General features: G+C 42.9%; 1 protein-coding gene across 5 annotated transcripts; it reads right to left on the reverse strand.

Moving 5' to 3' along the window:
* Positions 1-5,195: 5,195 nt before the first annotated feature.
* Positions 5,196-9,505, reverse strand: LOC102723713 (TP53-target gene 3 protein). Of its 5 annotated transcripts, none has more exons than XM_017030127.2 (4): positions 7,410-9,505; positions 7,138-7,304; positions 6,442-6,731; positions 5,196-6,221 (listed from the first exon to the last, which is right to left on the reverse strand). In XM_017030127.2, exons 1-2 carry the CDS (start codon positions 7,769-7,771, stop codon positions 7,268-7,270), a joined length of 399 nt encoding a protein of 132 aa, XP_016885616.1. In that variant the 5' UTR covers positions 7,772-9,505; the 3' UTR covers positions 5,196-6,221; positions 6,442-6,731; positions 7,138-7,267. The 5 variants fall into 5 exon arrangements, with proteins under 5 accessions (XP_016885616.1, XP_016885615.1, XP_011544540.1 ...); XM_017030126.2 differs by having other exon boundaries at positions 5,196-6,229; XM_011546238.2 differs by lacking the exon at positions 6,442-6,731.
* Between the last annotated feature and the right edge of the window lie 11,977 nt (positions 9,506-21,482).

Genomic DNA, 21,482 nt, shown 5'->3' on the forward strand with positions numbered 1-21,482 from the left:
AAGAGCAGCCTGGAAAATTGGGCTGCAATCATACAAAAGGAAGCTGGAAGCTTGTGTGGGCAGGGATGCCTGCAGCTGCATGGGTAGAAATGACCACCTTGGGCCAGACATATCCAACATGGGGGGCCCCACCCCTCTTTGTAGCATATGCACAGTAGAAAAGAGATAAGCAACTTGGAGTAGCTCAGGCTGAGAATCTGCCTGCATAATAAAAGGTTGGGGTGTGAGCTGCCAGAGATTCATGCTCTAAGCAGATGACACACCTGGTCCTAACCAGTTTTTCATGCCCTATGTGGATAACATACCCCCTCCCACTAGCTCATCTATAAAAACACTTGTATTTCACTGCAGAATGGCAACTCTTTTTTTCTGGATCCCTCTCTGCAGCAGAGAGCTGTTCTCTTTTTCTCACCCATTAAACTTTTGCTCTAACCTCACCTTTGGCATATCTGTGTCCTTGATTTCCTCGGTCCTGACACCAAGAAGTTCAGGTGTAACCCCAGAAGACACGACCAGTTTATCATGACTTGTCTCATTGCCTCTTGGGACATAGAAACGTCAATGAAAATGTGTCCAAAAGGACATTTCATAAAGTGCTCTCTCTTCCAATCTTCAAGCAATGTGGGACTATCCATCATGTACAAAAAACTTGTGGCTGAAATGCACAATTTCTAATACAAAAATGAATGCTATAAATTACTCTATGTATGTGTATTATGGCCATTCAGACATCGTCACACATTGCCACATTTAGATAGAAGAACCTGTGAACTTGTGGCTGTTAGGAAGCTTAACTTGTGCATACTGTCACCTATGAAAGTTAGCTTTCCCTGTGTTTCTTGAAACCAACCTTGAAATGTCCATCTTGTACACAATTTCTATTTATCCCCAGTGAGGTTCACCCATCTGGCCCCACCCTTACAGCCCTGGTACCAATGGAATTGCACTTGCTTATGCTTCTTCAAATTTTCTTGAGGTCATAAACATTTAGTGACAGAGTGGAATGAGAAGGTACTGAAGCAAGGGCTGATGCCTTCTGGGTAGATGGGTAGAGATCTCCTGCAGCCTGGATATCTTCAAAATAAGTAGGTTATAGGTCAAGTTAGAGAAAAAATAATACTCTTTCTTTGAACACCACGAAGAGAAAAGCGCTGGATCTAGATGTGTCTGTGAAGCCAGGCTTGTCCTGGGAAAGTGAGAAGAGCTGAGCAGGAGCCCTGGCAATGGAGGGTGGGTGAGATGTGGTCCCCACGGAGAGACCGCTAGGGTCAGGGCTTGGTACAGTGAGGCTGGCAGGGCCCTTCGGAAGGCAAGGGAAGATGGCCAAGGACACAAGGCTGAAGCAACCCATCTGAGCCAAAGATCTGTTTAGGTCCTTCTGAATCTCAGCAGCCTTGCCAAGGAAGGCATGATTACCCATGGGTATCAGAGACACTGGAGGCTGGCAGCTGGCGGGTGGGCCAGGAGGCCTGACTACTGCACAGGTGTGATTTCACTGGCAGGCCAACTGCAGGGAGTGGATAAAGAGAGAGCTCTGTGTGGGAATCTCTCTCGGTGGATCATCGAAGAGGTGAAGTCTTCTTCATAGCCTCAAACCCAATTTGTGGGATAGCAATTCCAGTGAAGCTGGGACAAGCTGGCACTGCTCAACCAGGCCTCCCAAGATACCAGGTTTCTTTCCACCACAGCTGGGCCTGGATTGGGATGTGAACATCTATCCCAGAGTCCAGAGGATGGGACCCTGGTCAGTGATGGTGCTGGTGTGTGGTGTGAAGCCAGGTAGGGCAGACTCTTCAGGTGGGAGGAGAAGACAGCCTCTCCTGTGGGCTCCTGGGCAAGTCAACACCCTCTTTGGGCCTGTCTCCTCAACTGGAAAATGCAGAAAGCCTGTTGTGCAGGCCTCACAGGGTCATGATAAGGGGCAAAGGATGAAGGAAACTTCAGAATTCTTGTGCCCACCTCTTCCTGAGAGGGATGATGGTGAGAACAATGGTGATAGCCACATGCAACTGAGTCCTCAGGAGGTACTGTGAGGAAGGTGTTGTTCTCATCACACTTCCTAGATGAAAAAACAGTTTCAGGAAGGCCTGGCTGCATGCCCAAGGTTACACACACAGTGAGTGTTAAAGCTGGGAGTAAATCTAGAATCAGGACTCACTGGAGCTGGTGGGAGCATTACACCGGCTGACTCAGGCAGTTATCCAAGATCTGAGGTCGCTGGGGCTGGAGTGTAACTGTGAGACAGGCACAGTCTCACTGACCCTGTTTCTGACTCTACTAGGTAGGAACCTTTTTAAAGAGTCCAGATGGGGCTGCAGCAGCAGGTGAATTGGCCTATGGTAGGGAGGGGCTCCAGAGAGTCAAGGACAGGGCTCCTCCCTCCCAGCTGGAGTTCTCCACATCAAGAGACCAGGGTGTCTTCCTCCTCCAGCCCTGCCCTCCTGTGGCCACAATGCTTGGAATGCCTTCATTAGAGAGACTAGAGAAAGGGCCTGGGAGAGCTAGGCTCAGAGTAGATTAGACGAAGAGTGAGGGTGGGGACGATCTGACTTTGTGATTTATTAAAATCACACCATAGAGGTAACTAAGAAGTGCTTAGCATCTTTGGAGGTCAGCTGTGGAAAGAGGAGGGAAAGATTTTGGGCAAGGAGGTGAAAGGTCCTTGGATGCTCTGAGTGAGAGACTTGGGTACGGGGGTCAAGGAGAAATAGGTTGGTGAGAGTTCAAAGGAGAGGTCTTGTGCAGTTAGCTGAGAATTGGTGCTCATCACTGCTACCACCTTGATAACACAGGCTGCTGTGCCCCCACTCCCCTCCCCCCCACCCCCCACCCCGGGCACACTTCTCAACAACCTGCAGATGCTGGAAATTGCCATAGAGGATTATATAGATGTGAGTGAGACTGGGGCAGGCAGGCAGGGTGGGGACCAGGATCCTGAAGCTTGCGAGGACAGAGTCCTGGACTGAATCCTGAGACTGCAGCACTCAGCAAACCCCTTTCCTGAGAGCCTACCAGATGCCCCTGTAAATGGCAGTGTCAGTTCCGTCTTATCTATGAGTGACGGAGCCTCCAGCAAAGACACCATTTCCTGTTCCTTGAGTAGTAAAGCTGCAGAGCTAAGTCTCAGCCTCTGCCTTAGCTGGTACCCATTGCAGAAGAGAGAAATTGGGCCCCTCCTAAGACAGGCAGGTCCTAAATTGTTGAGTAACTTCTTTGTTTCCAAGGCCTTTGTCTCCCTGTCTATCATCACAGAGAATCAGGGAGAAAGGTCACTGAGCCTCAGTGTCCCTTCTGTGGAGCCCAGAACCTGATGCAGGTCTAAGTCCTGTTTTATGCACATGCTCTGACCCTGGTGGCCCTGGTGGTGGTGCAGCATAGGAAGTATAAGGGATGAGGTCTAGTCCTGTGTCAGGAAGCCTTTCTCATGAATCTTGGCTGTCTACCTCCTAAGAACATATAATCAACACTAATAAAGGAAGAAGGTGAGCAGCTGGCGCTGTCGCTTTGAGGGAGGGTGGGGATGTGAAAGTCAGACACCACCCTGAGGAAGACACTCCTTGGCTCCATCCTCTGCATCTTAGATTTATTGGGAAGGTTTGATACACAGAGAAGCAGGAGACCCATCCCAATGGAGGGTTTGATTAGGGGAATAGAATCAATGATAAACTCCTAGAGGAGGGACTGTTTATATCCAACTCTTGAGAACAGGTTGGGGCTACATGGGATTGGAGGGGAGGGTAGGACCCCTTAAAAGAAAGGCCCTAGAAATTGTCCCTACCCCTTCACACCCCCACAAGTTCCCTTTGTCATCTTCCACCCAGGACCTGTCAGAATCCTGCCCTTCCTTCTGTCTCCAGATCAAAGTCCTCCAGGAAATGCAGCTGCTTCAGTGACAAGAGATAATTGTCATCTTCTGACTGAGGAGGAATTTGGGGTTTGGTTCCAGTGCATGAAGCTGCACAGTCAGAATAAAAGATGAGAGCCTAGCAGATTAGCAAAGACTAGGAGAAGACTCTATCTTGTGGCCAGCTTCAGAGAACCTGGGGCCATAGCTCCCTGGTCAACATTAGGCCTGCTGCATGGGGACCCTGGGCAGGCAGTGGGAAGCCTGAGGTGTGGCTCCTGGTAGCCTCACAGCTGCCACTATTTTCTGAAGCTCCTCCTACTTGTTTTGTCAGACGGGCCCCTATTCCAGCAGGCCAGCAACACCCTCAAGACCAAGAACAGGCCATGGTGAATCTCAGGGCCATTGAGTGCCTGGGCTGGCAGGGGCAGAGTGCCTCAGGGCTCAGTGACATTTGGCCTGAGTGTTGGCTTTGGGAGTCAGACAGCTGCACTGGGCTCCCAGCTTCACCATGACCAGTAATGTGTCTGGGGCCGGGGCCTCACTGCTCTAAAACTTGAGACACCATAGTGATAAATTTTACACACCCTTCTAACTGCTTTTTCTTTTTTATCTGTCTTTCTCTATAATCACCATGTACTACTGATCTCTGTTTATTTAAATTAATAAGCATGTTATACAGTGTGTATTATTCTTCCTCGTGACTTCTTTACTACATTGTATGATTCCACTCATATGAGGTACTTACAGTAGTTCCATTCATAGAAACTCAAAGTAGAAGAGTAGTTCCTAGAGGCCAAAAGGAAGGTAACGGGAACAGAGTTTGAGTTTTGCAAAATGAACAAATTTCCCTATGAATGTGGATGATGGTTGTAGAACAATGTGAGTATGATTAATTCCTCTGTCCTGCACTTTTAAAAATTGTTAAAATGGTTAATTTTATGTATATTTTACCACAATGTAAAAAAGGACTTTTTTAAATGAACAAACTGTAGATATCTGTAACAGCATAAATATCACAAATATAATATTGCATTAAAAATTGATGTAAAAGTATCCATACTGTGTAATTTTTTATATTACACTCAAAAATCAAAACTGAGGTTCTGGCTTCCACTAATGATGAAGTAGCTAACTGAACTAACACTCTCACACAGAAAAATGATGAATCCTGGGTAAATTATTATATATCATTATAGAAACATTTCTATATACAATACATACATGAAATATGTGTATATAAAAACTGAATGCATATTTTGGCTATGACTTCCATAGGAGAGATAAGTATTGAAGATAGAATCCAGCCCATTTAACACCATCTTTTAAAAACAACACTCTTCACAGGGACAAAACAGAATCCAGTCTTTTTAATCCAGTCTTGTATACAGTCTCCAGGGCACAATTTCCAATTCAAGAGATGCGTGAAGACACGTGAAAATGTAATAAATACACAAGATAAAAAGCAGGCAGTAGCCATCTCCAAGATGTCCAAGATGTAAACGGCAGACAAGAATTTGAAGGCAGCTATTATAAACACGCTCATGAGGGCAAAGGAAAATATTCTCATAAATGAATAGATGTGAAACATCAGCAGAGAAAAAATAGCCATATAAAAAATGAGAAATAAAAATAGTAATTTTGAGCTTTTCTATAGTTCAGAAACAGAGACATAGCAATATAATTTATCCAATCTGAGGAGAGGAAAAAAAAAAGTTTAAAGAAAATGAACAGAGCCTTACAGACCTGTGGGATGACTGAGTCTGAGAAAAGGTGAGAGATAGAAAAAATCAAATGGAGTATAAAAGTAAATCAACAAAATTTAAAGAAAATAAACACAGCCTTAGAGACCCATGGAATTATTGAGCCTGAGGAGAGGAGAGAGACAGAAGAATTAGATGGGTTGCAAAAATAAATCAATAACTAACAGCTGCAAACTTGCAAAAATTGTTCAAAAACCTATTTTTTTTTTTTAATCTAAAGATCCACGAATCCCCCACAAAAGTACAAATAAAACCATACCAAGGCCATATTGTGATTTAGGAAAGCAGCAGGCAGGACTTTCAATTGACTTGATATGATTTATCATTTTTACTATTTGTAAGAATGGAAATAAGTTCTTAGAGTTTTGGTCTTGGAGAAAGTCTGACGTTAAGGACAAACGACAGTTATTAAAGGCAGATGACTTTCCAGACTTGTCTTAAATGTTCCATTCTTCACCTTAGAACTTATTTAAATTTGTTTCTTCCAAATACTGCAGTAATATTGATGCTCCAGAGAGATGTCCCACGGAGATTCTGCTCTTGTGCGTCTGCCCTGCACGGAGCTGAGGCAGTGTCTATCAGTTTCAGAAGCGAGTAGTCGTGCAGTACTTAACCTGAAAAACTTAATGGAAACATGAATTAAGAGAATGATCACTGTTTAGTTCTATCAGAAAACTATTAAAAGTGGTCCAAGGGGGTATTTAAAAAGAGATATTAAAGTATTTTCCAAGGGAGCCCTATTCAGGGTAGAAGCGCAGACACTATCCCTGACCTCACCACACAAACTACCCTCATGTGTTGGGAGGGACCAAGGGGCGCTCTGGTCCTGCTGACCTGCATTAATCACGGCCCGGAGGTCCACACTAAGACCCTGAGGCCTGGGAAGCAGCCTGGGTGGGGTCAGAGAAGCGGTGGATGAGGCTCCCACAGCAGCTTCCAGGGTCCCATCCCCGTAGCTGTTTCCTTAGTGGATGCAGCAGGGTCAGGCCCTTCCGCTGTGACGTTTTCTCCTCTTTATTACACTGGTGGGAAAGTCTCCGTGAGAGGCCCGACCTAGATATGGACCACGCAGCGAGCCCGGGGGTCCAAGCGGCACTCCTGGGGTGCAGAGGATTTGTGACAGCCTAGAGAACAGAGGAAATGGTTTTGAAAAGGCAAATGGCAGGTGACTAGGGACACGATGTTTTCACTTCTGGCAGTCAAGTGACAGTTTCAGACACTCATGAACGGGCTTCTCGAGGGGATCCCAAGGAGCCTGAGACCTGCCAGGTCGGCCGCCATTACCCTACACCTAGGGACGGGCTGCACTGCGCATTTCCGAAAGGGCAGGCCCCTTAGCCCCACCCCTAGGAATGGGTGCACTGCGCATGTGTGAAAGGGCAGGACTTTTATCCCGCCGCTAGGGACGGGCTACACTACCCATGTCTGAACGGGTGTGACAAGAGGGAGGAGCGAGAAGGGACGGGGCGGAGCGGGAGATGGGCAAGAATAGGGGCGCGGTGCGGCCAACGTCCGGCGGAGGATCGTTACCACGGCAACGCTGCTGTGGAGGCCATGAAAGGCGAACGGCCCTTTGTTGGCTGACAGGAAATCGAGACACTCGTGAGGGGGCTTCTTGAGGCGATCCCAAGAGGCCTGAGAACTGCCACATCCGCGGCCCTTAACCCAGCCCTAGGGACGGGCCGCACTGCGCATGTCTGAAAGGGAGTGACAAGAGGAGGAGCGAAGGAGGGTGGGGCTGAGGAGGAGGCGGGGTGAGAAAAGGGGCGGGCCGCGCCCCACCCTTGTCTGAGGAGCGTTACCTTGACAACCCTGCGGCGGAGGCAGTGAGAGGCCACCGACCCTTTGTTGATCTGCAAGGTATCAAACTTCGAACATGACAAGCATAAAAGCCTGCAGCTCGAGGAGACAGGGTGTCACAATTACCAGGTGAAACTAGCCGCCCTAGCTCCAATGTCTCTTCAGCAGGAGAGATTTGGAAACAGCAAGGCTCCTCTCCGCAGGGCGAAACTGCTGGGCTGCGAAAGGCGGGACAGGGAGCGGAACCGTCTTCAACCGTTCCGGGAGTTCTGGTGTCTGGTCCGCTCCCGGCTGTTGGTCGCAGGGCAGAGGGTCTAGGATGCCAGCTGGCTGCGGGCTGGGAGATGCAGGGTGAGGCGCGCATCGCGGTGCATACTGGGAGTTGTAGTCTCTCCACCGTTCCCCACGGTGGATGGTGGGGCTACAGGAGGACAATCCCAGATTGAGACAGGAGCGGAGGCGGGGCGCGGCCGTGCAGGGAGGGGGAGGGCGGTGTAGGCGGCTTCGTTTACCAAGCTTGCTGGCCATTGATTTCATGCCAAACCCTCGCCAAGGGGATTAAATCAGGAGAGGAACTTGAAGGGCAGGCCTGGTCTCGCCAGTGAGGAGGATGTGTTGTTGGGAAGTGCACCCCGCCTTTGCCTAAATCGAGAGTGTCTGGTCCTCACTCACGCGACTTCGACTTCCCGCTGCTCAGCTCGATTTTCTTTCCCACTTGCACCCGAGTTCTTTCCAGAGCGTCCCACCTCCTCCAGCCCATGGAGCCGTCTGCTTTCATAAGTGGCTGTGGAAACTGGTCTGAGGTCCCAGACGCTGTCACTGTGCTGCTGCCCTCCGCTCTCTCCAAGCAAAGCACAAGCTGAGCCGCCTTGGAAAGACAACCACGGCCTGGCCTGGGAATGCGCAAGTTCAGAGCTTTGCAGGGAGTGACCATGGGCTGTGGCTTCGTGAAAATGTCACGTTCACCAGTACCCTTTTTGCGGATGTGGCCGTGGAGCCATGAGGGGGGTAATCACTGGGTTACAAAGGTGCTGCTAAGAGCGGAGGAGAAAAACCCAATTCCCAGCCATGTGTCTGGTATGACATTTCACCAACCCATTTAAGTGTGCAGGCCTCCAAATATCTACCTAAAGATTATGATAGATTAGGCATTTTACACTAAAAATCTGTGGCTTCGTGTCCACTAAAGCCTGACTGGCCAGTGCCTAAAAGAAACAGACGATAACCTGATCCCTCAGGAACAGATGGTGTTCTAGCTTTGTGGAAGTGAATTTCAAGGTATGGAGCACTTGAGGGGTCTTTGAAACCTGCCAGGTCTCACATCTCTGCTTTTGGTGAAAAGCTCATCAACTAACAGTAGTCAGGAATGTGCCTTTACTTCCTGGGGCTGGTCTGTTGAAATTTTGTGTGTGGACAATGGAAACATCCAGGAGCATTTCTGCTTTCCTATAGCCTCTTAATAATTGATGCCCTAAAGTCCTATATCCTTTGATTCCTGGATGGTACCAGATTTCATGCTGTTAAATCTAATCTGCAAAAACCTGAGCGTTAATCTCCATGAATAGAAGAACTTGTTGTTTCTTATTTAAATGCTCTTTTTTCTCTTGTCTTAGATTCTGAGCAGGATTTCCAATACGGTGTTGAAAGAAGTAGTGAGAGTGGGCATCTTTTTCTTATAATAAATCTTAAAAATAATTCCAAAATTTCACCATTGACAATAATGTTAACCATGGGATTGTCCTATAGCTTATAAAGAACATATCTCTTTATTTTGAGGTATATTCTTTCTATACCTAATTTGTTATAGATTTTATTTGGAATGGATTTTAAATTTTGTCAAAATAATTTTAGGCATGCATAAAAAAGTCATGATTTTTAATCTTTTTGTTGTGTAAATAAGGAGTATGGCATTTATTGATTTCCACATATTAAAATATTATTGCATCCCAGGAATAAATCCAACTTGATCATAATAAATGATCCTTTTAAAGTGCTTTTGAATTTCATTTGCAACTACGTTGTGGATGATTTTTCATCTATGTTCATCAGGGATATTGGCCTGTAATTGTTTTTCTTGTAATGTCCATCTCTGGTTTTTGTATCAGTGTAATGCTGGCTTCATAAAATGAGTTTGGAAGTATTCCTCCTCCTTCAATTTTTTCAAAGATTTGGTTCTTTTTAAATGTTTAGTAAAATTCAGCAACAAAGTCATCAGATCTAAACTCCTTACCCATTACTGATCTATTCATATTTTCTATTTCTTTATGCTTCAGTCTTCGTGGGTGGTACTTGTCTAGAAATATATTCATGTCTTCTCCCTTATCCCATTTGGTGGGATATCATTGTACATAGGAGTCTGTGTACATAGCAGTCTTATGACCTTTTTTTATTTCTGTTTTACCAGTTGTAATGTATTCCCTTTAATTCTGATTTTATTTATTTAAGCATTTATTTCTTAGTCTAGCTAAAGATATGTCAACTTCATGTTTTCATAAAACAAGCTCTTACAATTTTTCTACATTTTCTATTGTTTTTCTAATCTTCAGTGTATTCATTTCTGCTCCGATTTTTTTTACTAATTTTATTATCTGGGAACGTTGGGATAAGTTCTTCCTCCTCTAGTTTCTTGAGTTGTGTCATTATTTGTTTATTTGTGATCTGTTTTCTCTTTGGTTGAAGGTGTTTACTGCCACTCCATTTCACTGGGATTAGCACCCATATGCATTGTGGTCTTTTTGTTTGAGTTCATCAAACTTCTGATCCTAAGTCTGCACCTTTAGCATACTGGTAAGCAGCAGTGCTAAAAGCCTACACGATGAGTAGGGGATTTAGGATGAGAGAATTACCCAGTAAGTTTTGGGAGGGACTAATATTAAGTTATCTTTCTCTTTTTTATTTCTCATCAGTGCCTGAACCATAAGGCACAAGGAATGAGCCCCTCATCGTGAGAGTGCATGTGACAGGAGCAAAGGAAGCGGCAGCTCAGGAAAGACAAGGTCACTGTTCTTGCTCCCATGACGGTAGCACTTGTTAGAGCAACTGAGTGACGTGCATAATTCTCTCCAAAGTAAAAGTCCTTTTTGTTTTTTGCAATTTTACAAAAAACCATCCCTGGGCCTTTCCTGAGAGTGTGCAATAATAAGCAATGTTCATATGACTACCCGGGCATTTAGTAATGGTAAGCAGACCAGATGAAGTGACCACAGGGATATAGCCTGACTCTTGGTAATCAGGACTGAAGTACTCACTGATTAAGGTTCTGTGTTTTCACTGCCTTGAAAGGCAAGTGTCTTGCAAGCTGCATGCCAAACAAAGGCTAAATATGATGACACATCAGGCTGCAGCAGAGTCAACTGACCATATATGTCTAGGTGATGAGTGTGCTTTAATGTGGTCAGGGAAGGCAACTCATGATAAAGGCCACAAATGGCTATTTAGACCAAAGCAAAAGCCCACCAGAAACTGGTGGCTCTGACTGAGGTGACTTTTAATGTATCATGAAATCAGTAGGCCAAAAGCAGTTAAAGTTGAGCCGATGTCCTCAGTCATAGTTGGTTAATCCAGTTTGTATTGTGAATTGTTTGATTAGCCTCCCCTTTACCCCATTGGTGAGGGATAAATTACCACCCTTGTACTACTGGAACAGTTAAAACCATGGCACCAATCATTGGACAAATGAGATTGACAGCAGTTATTCGTTACATATAATCATGGAAGAAGGAAATTATATAAGGTATACAGACCCACACAGGGATTGCACTTGGGAGCAGAGAGAACAAACAGGGGGTGTTGGGGAAGGCTTTGTAGTATCAAGAGGGTGAGATGCACCTGGTTCCCACAGGAAGTTGTTATTGGTTGGTCTGGATAATTCTGTGACCTTGGGAGAAACTGAAACACATTATACTACCAATTGCTAAGACTACAATAACATACTATAATAGTGTAATGCTATAATGTACCATATACTGTAATACTAATGACAGTATGTTCTCCCTTTTTTGATAGATTCTCAGAAACTGTGACTTTAAGTAAAACAATGTACTATATAATAAAACCAATTTTACCATTGGCTAATTGATATAAACAAGAGTTAATTTTCCATGGCATATAGTATTTTGTTTCACTTAAAGTCAGTTTCCAGGGACCTATCAATGATGTTAAGTGAGCACTTACTGAACATGTATTTTAGTGATGTGTAATAGAAAGTAGCTATAAAAAATATACTATTCATGTACAAAACTACATGTGGCACACATTACAGTCATGAACCACATAACAATGTTTGAGAAATTGACAGACTATATATATGAGGGTGTTTTCTTGTGAGTATATATATATATATATATATATATATATATATATACCTACCTTTAAAGGCCAAAGGAGCTGAGAGTTTGAAGAATGAGGCTGACAAATCAAGTTTCTCAGAAAGAAACATTTAAGAGGAACATTTATTAATAGAAGCTATGTCTCAGATAGCTGAAGATGGTGGAACCTCACACTGTGACCCCCTAAACCCAGACACTTATCACAGGAAAGGGAATGTGAAGGACAATTGAAATCACTATATAAATTTGCCTAAGGGTAGGATTTATGCTAAGTACCTGTTCACAATAGCATCAGGGTTGTTTTGATTTAAGGGTAGGGCTTATAGAACTGTAGGTTTCAATATATGACATAGGTATTTGAAACCCTCACCAAAAAACATTAGAGGAAGTAACTCTGTCATCGTTTTAAGTTTCTTTTTTTTTTTTTTTAGTAATTTAAAATCTTAAAGTCTGGTTATGTTAAATTAAGTAATCTTAAGTTTCTCACTAAAAATTAGTATTGCTAAGCATTAAAAGAATAGTTTTAAGACAGTTTTTACCCCAGCACTAGTGATTGGATAATACGGCCCCAGGCCCCACCCCTTCAGGTTCTGAATGAGAGAAGATGTGAGCCAACTCATAGCCAGATGACAACAGGGTAAAATGTTCCAAGCCGCAGCCTTTTTCAGGCAGGACTTCCTCCTTATGCTGAAGCCCGGCCTTCACTGTGGGATATTTGCATTTAACCTTGTATATAAGGTTATTTTTATTTATAAGTTGTATATATGTGGCCAGGCATAGTGGATCTCACCTTTAATACCAGCACTTTGGTAGGCTGAGGGGACAGGAGCTCTTGAATCCAGGCGTTTGGGACCAGCCTGGGCAACAGAATGTGAGGGCCCCACATCAAAACTTTTCTACAAAAAAATGAAAAAATTAGCCAGGCATGGTCACACGTGTCTGTGGTCCCAGCTACTTGGGAGGCAGAGGTGGGAGGGTCACTTAAGCCTGGGAGGTAGAGGCTGCAGTGAGCTGAGATCAGGCCACTGCACTGCAGCCTGGGTGACAGAACAAGATTCTCTCTTTCTTTCTCTGCCTTATTTGTGTGTGTGTGAAGGGGGAGGGGTGTGTGTGTGTATTATTCAAAATAGAAACAAAATAATAACAATTATTTTTATTTTTATTTACATTTTTTTGAGACAGAGTCTCACTCTGTCACCCAGGCTCGAGTACAGTGATGAGATATTGGCTCACTGCAACCTCCGCCTGCCAGGTTCAAGTGATTCTTCTGCCTCAGCCTCCCAGGTAGCTGGGATACAGGCATCCACCATGTTGCCCAGCTAATTTTTGTATTTTTAGTAGAGACATGGTTTCACCATGTTGACCAGGCTGGTTTCGAACCGAGGTCAAGTGATCCGCCTGCCTCGGCCTCCCAAAGTGCTAGCATAACAGGCATGAGCCACCATGCCCAACCAATTACAATTATTTTTAATTTTTAGATTTTACAATCTTTCTGGCCTCTTGGCTTTTGAGGCAAACTGAGCTTTGAAATTAGGCAATCCTCTATTGCACCAATGTGCAATAGAAGTAAAATGTGAGCCACATGTGACAATTAGAATTTACTAGTAGCAGCATAAAGAAAAAGAAAAATGAGTGAAATTGATGTTAACAACATAGCTCAATATATCCAAAATATTTTAACATATAATCAGAATGAAATAATTAAAGAAACATATATATGTGTACATATATACGTACACACACATAGACATATGTTTCTTTAACCCAGCATTATATATTTTTATGCACATATGTATATGTAACTAAATATTTAAATATTTTCTTGTATTTCTCCCCAGCATATCTTAGTTCATGCTGGGCACAATACAGTTGCTCAGTAGCCCCTGTGCCCAGTGGCTGCCACATTGCAAGTGCATCTCTGAGGGCTCTGACTTTTCTGACCTTAGGGAAGTTAAAGGGCCTGAATCCTCCTTTTCTGCCAGATAGGAGTGAATGCCCCTTCTCTGCCAATATCACTCCTGTTTAAAGGATAAGAGAGGTGGTGCCCTGAGAGACAGTAGGGCCTACAAGAAACAAGTGTTCACAGGTAGAACACTGCTGTCCACTTTTGCTTGGTGTGGACTCATCAATCCTCCAGAGATCATACAGCAGTCCAAAAAGTGGGGCCCCCGAAGAGGGAAACCTCATGTTTTTAGATCTGTCCATAGGCTTGATCTGATGTGGAGAGACTAGATTAAAGGCAAACTTTTTATCTTGCAACTTGGCCTTGGCAAATTAAATAGAAATATGTCACTATAAAAATCAATTAAATAAAAAGGAAGGCAGTAAGAGCAGAAAAGAGGAGAAAATACCTACAAGAAACAAATAGAACTATTAACAAAATGGAAGTAGTCCATTCTTTTCACAATTAAAATGAATATATACATAGAGTAAAATTTCCAACAGAAATGTGTAAATTGGCTAAAGAGATTGAAAGAAAAAACGATTTGTTTTCTGCTGTCTATAAGAAACTCACTTTAGATCTAAGCACACAGATAGGCTAAAAGTGCAAGTATGAAAAATATCTTCTAGGAAGATTGCAATCAAATGAGAGCAAGAGGGGTCATAATTATGCAAAATACACATTAAGTCAAAACTGAATTAAAGGACAAATAAAGATAGTATATAATGATACAAGTGTTGATTCACTGGGGAAGCTGTGTTAATAATAAATATATGTACACTTCACATCGGGGTTTCCAAATGTATAAAGCTAAGATCGACCCAGATGAAGAAAGAAATAGCTATGCAAAAATAGTAAGAGACATAATTATCCGACTATCAGTAGCAAACTCTGTAAACCGAACAGACATATAGAAAACACTCATCACAGTGAATAGATTCAGGAAGCTGAAGGCCCATGGGACATGACCAACTCAGCATTCCACTGGAGGCTATATGATCAAACAGCAAACTGTTTATCATGAATGCAGGATGTGGGCAAACTCACACTGCCCTGCCACCAAAAGGTTTGCTGAGGGCCTCATTCCCTGGCACCAGGCTCCTTGAAGTTATCTACTGAGAAATCCAGTGCCTATTGTTCTAAGAATGTAGTCTCTCGAGTCAGCTGTGAATCAAGCTGCTGGTGGAAAACCACCCCCCGCTTCTCACTATCTCTCTTACCTAATAAATATGGAGGGCTGTGTAAAGCTCAGGTACCTTGTTCACTAGAGGCAAGGTGCCCCTGACCCCTTTTTCCAAATATACCCCTTTGTCTCTTGTCTTTTATTCCTGCATTCACCCTGCTTTGTTCAGTCCAATAGGTCTGTGTAGGCTACAAATAGAAGTGAAAAAAAAGAAAAAAAACACTTCACACAACAATATCAGAATACACACTTTTTCCAATAGGTCATGAAACATTCTCCTGAGTAGATAACCTACTAGGACACAAAACAAGTTTTACCAAATTTTAAAATGTTAAAATATGGGCTAGGCATTGTGGCTCATTCTTATAATTCCAGCATTTTGGGAGGCTGAGGTGGGAGGATTAGTGAGTTTAGGAGTTCGGCGCCAGCCTGGGCAACATAAAGAGACCCTCTCTTTAGAAAATATAAAATTTAAAAATTAGCTGGGCATAATGGCACATGCCTGTGCGTCCAGCTACTCAGGAGGCTGACGGGGGAGGATTGCTTGAGCCTGGGAGATCGAGGCTCTGGTTAGCCATGATTGAGCCGCTGTGCTCCAGCCTGAGCAACAGAGCAAAACTCTGTTTCAAAAAAAAGATTAAAATATTACAATCATTTTTTATTACAAGGGAATAAAATTAGAAATCAATAGCAGAAGAAATATGGAAAATCTACAAATATGTGGAAATTAAACAACACACTCTTCTGCATGCTCTCGTTCAAGGGTTGGAAGACAATATTGTGAAGATGTCCACACTACCCAAAATGATCTACAGATTCAATGAGATCTCTATCAAATTTTAACTGTCATTTCACTTGGCAGAAATACAAAAAACATTTCTAACACTTATATGGAATCTAAAGTGACTCTCAGGAGCCAAACAACCTTCAAAAAAAGAAATAATATTGGAGGCATCACACTCCTTGACTTTATAATGTATTACAAGATTACAGTAACCAAACTATTTAGTACTGACATAAAGGCAGACACACAGACAAATGGAACAGAATAGAGCACAGAAATAAACTGTCATATATATGGCCAAATGAAGAGTTATTTGTATATCCATATTCATTGCACAACATTATTCACAACAGCTGATAGGTGGAAGCAACCCAAATGTCCCTCAATGAATCAGTGAATAAAGACAAATTGGAATATACAAATAATGGAATATTATCCAGTTTTTTAAAAGCAGGAGATCTGATTATTTTTACACTAAGGATAAATCTGGAGGACATTATGTAAATAAAATAAATGAGTCATAAAAGGACACTGTGTGATTCCAGTTAAATATCTAAAATAGTTAAACTCTTAGAAACAGAAAGTAGAATAGTATCAGTCAGAGCCTCAGGGGAGGAGATAAAAGGGTAGTTGTTGTTTCATGGCTATTGAATTTTAGTTTTGCAACATAAAAACATTCTAGAGATATGTTGCATAACAATGTGAATATATTTAATATTATTTAACTATGTACTTAAAATATTTAAGATGGTAAATTTTATGTGGTTTTGACTACATTAATAGTGAAAAACTTTCTAAAGAGATACATATTTATCAATCTTTTCAAAAATTACCTTCAAATCCTAAAAATATCAGAAAAACAATAAAGAGGCCAGGTGCAGTGGCTCATCCATGTAATTGAAACACATCAGGAGGCTGAGGAGGGAGAATAGCTTAAGCCCAAAAGTTGGAGACCAGCATGGGCAGCGTAAAAAGACCTCAGCTGCAAATCACAAGCAGAAGGAAACTGGCAAATGAAAAAATATGTGAAACTTAAAACAGAACACTCTTGACTTCTTGTTCAAGGGTCAGAAAATTTAATATTATTAAGATGTCAATACTACTCACAGTGAAGCACAAATTCAAAGTATTTTCTATCAAAATCTCAATGTTACATTTGTTTCAGAAATATTAAGTCTTAAAATTCATATGGAATCTCAAGGGACAATGAGTAGCCAAAGTAGCTGTGGAGAAGAACAAAGTTAGAGGTATCACACTTCCTGATTCCAAAATATATTATAAAGCTATAGCAATACAAACAGAAAGACAAATAGATGATGGAACAGAATAGAGAACCCAGAAATAAACCTTTATGAATATCATCAAATAATCTTCAATCAGGCTGCCATGACCGAACAACAGGGAAGAACAGAATAGTGTTCTAAAATTGAGTATCAAAATGGAAGAAAATAAAATTGGACTTTTCACTTGCACCATATAGAAAACTATCTTAAACACTTAAATGTAAGTAAGATCGCTATAAAAGTCTTAAAATATAAGGTAAAAATCATGACATTTGTCTTGATAATTTTTTTAACATGACATTAAAAGCAGAAGTAACAAGAAAAAAGCAGGAAAATGGGACTACCTCAAATGTAATAAGCTTTCTGATAAAGAGAAAACAGCTGGGCCTGGGGGACCACTACCACCAAGACGCAGAGACCAGTAGTGGCCCCGAATGGCTGGGCACGCTGATATTTATTGCATACAAGACAAGGGGGCAGGGTAAGGAGGGTGAGTCGTCCAGGTGATTGATAAAGTCAAGCAAGTCATGTGATCATGGGACAGGAGGCCCTTCCCTTTTAGGCAGCCAAAGCAGAGAGGGAAGGCAGCATACATCAGTGTTTTCTTCTATGCATTTATAAGAAAGATCAAAGACTTTAAGACTTTCACTATTCCTTCTACCGCTATCTACTAAGAACTTCAAAGAGGAACCAGGAGAATGGGAGGAACGTGAAAGTGGACAAGGAGCGTGACCACTGAAGCACAGCACCACAAGGAGGGGTTTATGCCTCCGGATGACTACGGGCAGGCCTGGATAATATCCAGCCTCCCACAAGAAGCTGGTGGAGCAGAGTGTTCCCTGACTTCTCCAAGGAAAGGAGACTCCCTTTCATGGTCTGCTAAGTAACAGGTGCCTTCCCAGGCACTGGCATTACCGCTCGACCAAGGAGCCCTCAAGCGGCCCTTATGTGAGTGTGACAGAGGGCTCACCTCTTGCCTTCTAGGTCACTTCTCACAATGTCCCTTCAGCACCTGACCCTATACCCACCAGTTATTCCTTGGTTATATGAGTAATACAACAAAGAGTAATATTAAAAGCTAGTGATTAATAATGTTTATACTAATGATGGATAATGTCCATGATCATCTCTATATCTAATTTGTGTTATAACTATTCTTTATTCTAACTGTTTTCTTTATTATACTGCAACAGTTTTTACCTTCAGTCTCTTGCCTCGGCACCTAGGTAATCCTTCACACCCACATGTTTCTACAAAGGAGATATACAAACGGCCAAGAGGAATTTTAAAAGATGCTGCAAATCATGAATCTTTAGAGAAATGAAAAGCAAAACCCCAGTGAGATATTACCTCACATTCATTAGGATGGCCACTATCAAATAAGAGAAAATAACAAGTGTTTTCAAGGATGTAGAGAAATTGGTATATTTGTGCACTGGGTGGTGGAAAAAATAATCATGCAGCCATTATGAAAAATAGTACAGAGTTTCCTCAGATTATTAAAATTGGAATTATGATGTGGTCTGGCAATACCATTTCTAGATATCTATCTAAATGTGCAAAGCGGGACCTGAAAGAAACATTTACATACCCATGTTTATGACAGAATTATTCTAAAAATCCAAAAGGTAGAAGCTACTTGAATGTCCCTTGACAGATAAATAAGTAAATATGATATATACATACAATGAAATATGATTTTAAAAGGAAATCTTATCACATGCTGCAATGACAATAAACCTTTAGGGCATGATGTTAAGTGAAATGTGCCAGGAAACAAAGTGACAGTGATTGTGTGATTCCACTTATGAGATATCTTAAGTAGTCCAACTCACAGAAATGGAAAGTAAAATGTTAAGGGCTCAGGAGAGGGTAAAATGGGCAGTTGACGTATATGGGTATTGAGTTTTAGTTTTGCAATGGAAAAGCTCTAGAAGCCTGTTGCATAACAATGTGGATATGTGTACCACTAATAAATTATGCAATTACAAATGTATAGACTGGTAAATTTTGTTGTGTTTTATTACAGTTAAAATATTGTAAAGTGATACATAAAAGAGATACCGAGTTACAAACTTTTTGGAAAATTACCTTCAAATTATAAATGTGTTTTCCTCACACAAAGAAAATATAGATTTGTTCAATAAATACGTGGGTAAGTTAAGACTACTTATATGACTACTGTCCTGAACAAGATAAAACAACTTTTGACACCAGCCAAGAAGAGAAATATGCAAGATAATTAAGAAGAAATAGACTATACTTACAGAGGCAAACAAACACACGATTTTATTGGTGGTAGATATGGCTGATTCATATTTTGATTAAACATCACATTGACTTAACATGTACATAGAGTTGCAGATTTACATCCAAAATCATAATACGTAGGTAAAACCAAACTCACAAAACACGAATGTCAAGGAACTTACCAAAAAAGAAAAAAAAAATAGTAATATGAAATTTCAAGAAAGAATGAGAGAAACAACGAAAAAACTCCTATATAAAACATAGATTTACAACTAAGAAAGAATCCTCCTAGATAACTACAATCTTCAGCTGTGACTGTGCATCCGTGGTGAGCAGGGATTTTGAATCAAGACTGCGTTAGGAAGAGGCTCAAGGGGGCAGACAGTGCCACCTCCAGAGAAGCCACTGCTCCTACTCCTGCCTCTCCTGCTACTGCCGCCACCGTCCTCTGCTCCTGCAGCCCCCACTGGGCGCCCGATTCCTTCTTGGAGTGCGGAGGTCCTGTTCCTTCAGGAACGACAGACAGCTTTTCTCCCCGTCTCCTCGTTTGCTCAGCCGGCAGGTGCAGGACTGGAGATCTGAGGTGGTCCTGCGTCTCGAGGAGCCGGGCGCCCGACTGTGAGAAGGAGGAGGCAAGCTATGGGGAGAGGGGGCGACAGGAATGCCAGGCTCATGAGGCCGGCGGCCGCGGCCCAGGCAGGGCTGGCTGCTGCCTGGGCCGGATGGTAAGAGATACTGTGGAAAGAAAATAAAATAAAATAAGTAATAATAAAGTTTAAAATAATAAACCTAACATAGGTAATAGTTAACATTCAGCATAGGTTACTTAGAAGTTATACATAGGCTAAGAAATTCCAGCAGTCCATTCCAGCATTGCTAACAAGTTGCAGCTGCGAGCTTATCTCAATCTTCCAAGCTTATTGCCTGCCTCCAGACCCCCGCATATTCCTGTAATTCGTGTTTTCCCTTACCCCAGCTCTGTTCAGCTTCAAAGTTGACTGGACAAAATAACTAAATTGTAAGTTCTCTCCGAATTGTCACGGGTTGGATAATTTACTGTCTTTGTCTGAAACCTGTAACCTGCCTTGTTTTCCCGCCTCAAACGGCACTTAAGCAAGCCTGCTTTCTTTGCAGGGGTCGGCAGCCATTTTGGGCATGAGCCTGCTGTTGGCTCAGGTGCCTGAATTAAATAAAGTTCTCTTTGGTCTCCAAAGGTCTCTTCGTGTTCCTTGGCTGGAGTTTTACTACAACAGTACCAGATGTCGCCACCATCCCCATCCTTGGCCCCCTAGCCGTCATTCATACATCCTGTGTTCAACAAACAGAAGTGGCAGCGGGAGCTGCTGCTCCGGGAGGGGGAGTGGCCTGGCAGGGGGCACACAGCTGCTACCTGCTGCGAGGCGAGTTGGTCTGCAGCCTGGGCCTTTGTGCAGGACACATCGCCGCCCTTGTCCCGCTTGCTCCCCCGCCTGCCACGCAACATGCTCAGGTGCCAGATCTCGGGCATTCCTGGCAAGCGTACTGTGGCGGGGAGGCAGCAGGGAGGAGGGGTTTGCCAGGAGCCCTGAACAGAGGTTCTTGGCATGGAGAAGAGACAGAGGTGGCTGACTGGTTCCAGTTTTAGGTGGGTGGGGGGAGGGGGCGGCAAACCCCATGGGACTTTGTTTTTTTCAAGGAGACTTCAGTTCACTTCTTATCTGTTCTCCACCCGCTTAAGCCTCTGAGAACAGAGGAGATGGGGCTCTTTTAAATTGGCCTGGCCGTAACGGTCTGGACCCTTGCCGCAGGGCGGATCTCATTTGGGGGCTCTTTGAAGCCTGGAGGCTCACGCCTGTCCATCCCAGGTGTCTTCAATATAGGGTCAAGTTAGGCCTGGCTGGCAATGATGCTGGGATGCAGGACGATCTGGCCAGATCTTCGCCTGTTACAGGATATTTTAGCCTTCAGCACCCTGCACCATTTCCCTCACCTGCAGAAGCCCCCGTGAGCCTCAGTGTTGCTAGGGCCCAGACCCTGGATGCCTCTCTATTAGGGTCCCACTTTACCCCACCTAAATGCACCAGGCCCTTACTCTGCCTTTCCCCTTTTCCCAGAACATGCCCCATTCAACTCCAACAGGACATGTCTGGACCACGTGCACCCCTCTTCAGTGTTAAAACAGAGAAAATAATGTATTTTTCACTGAACATGTAACTGATTTAACATATAAGGAGATCAGCTTTATGTGTAGATATGCATGTAAATATACACAAAATTTCTAACGTTGTGGGAAAATTAACATCTTTACACTTTGTTCAGTGATTTT

The sequence above is a fragment of the Homo sapiens genome (assembly GCF_000001405.40).
Source record: "Homo sapiens chromosome 16 unlocalized genomic scaffold, GRCh38.p14 Primary Assembly HSCHR16_RANDOM_CTG1".
NCBI lineage: Eukaryota > Metazoa > Chordata > Mammalia > Primates > Hominidae > Homo > Homo sapiens.

What these genes read in the sequence shown, in the direction of transcription:
- LOC102723713 (XM_011546238.2), bottom strand. Translation starts at nt 7,771, where the DNA reads ATGCGCGCCTCACCCTGCATCTCCCAGCCCGCAGCCAGCTGGCATCCT. An exon ending in TCCGCCGCAGGGTTGTCAAG is followed by an intron (nt 7,305 to 7,409) that starts GTAACGCTCCTC and finishes ACTCCCTTTCAG; the next exon opens with ACATGCGCAGTGCGGCCCGT.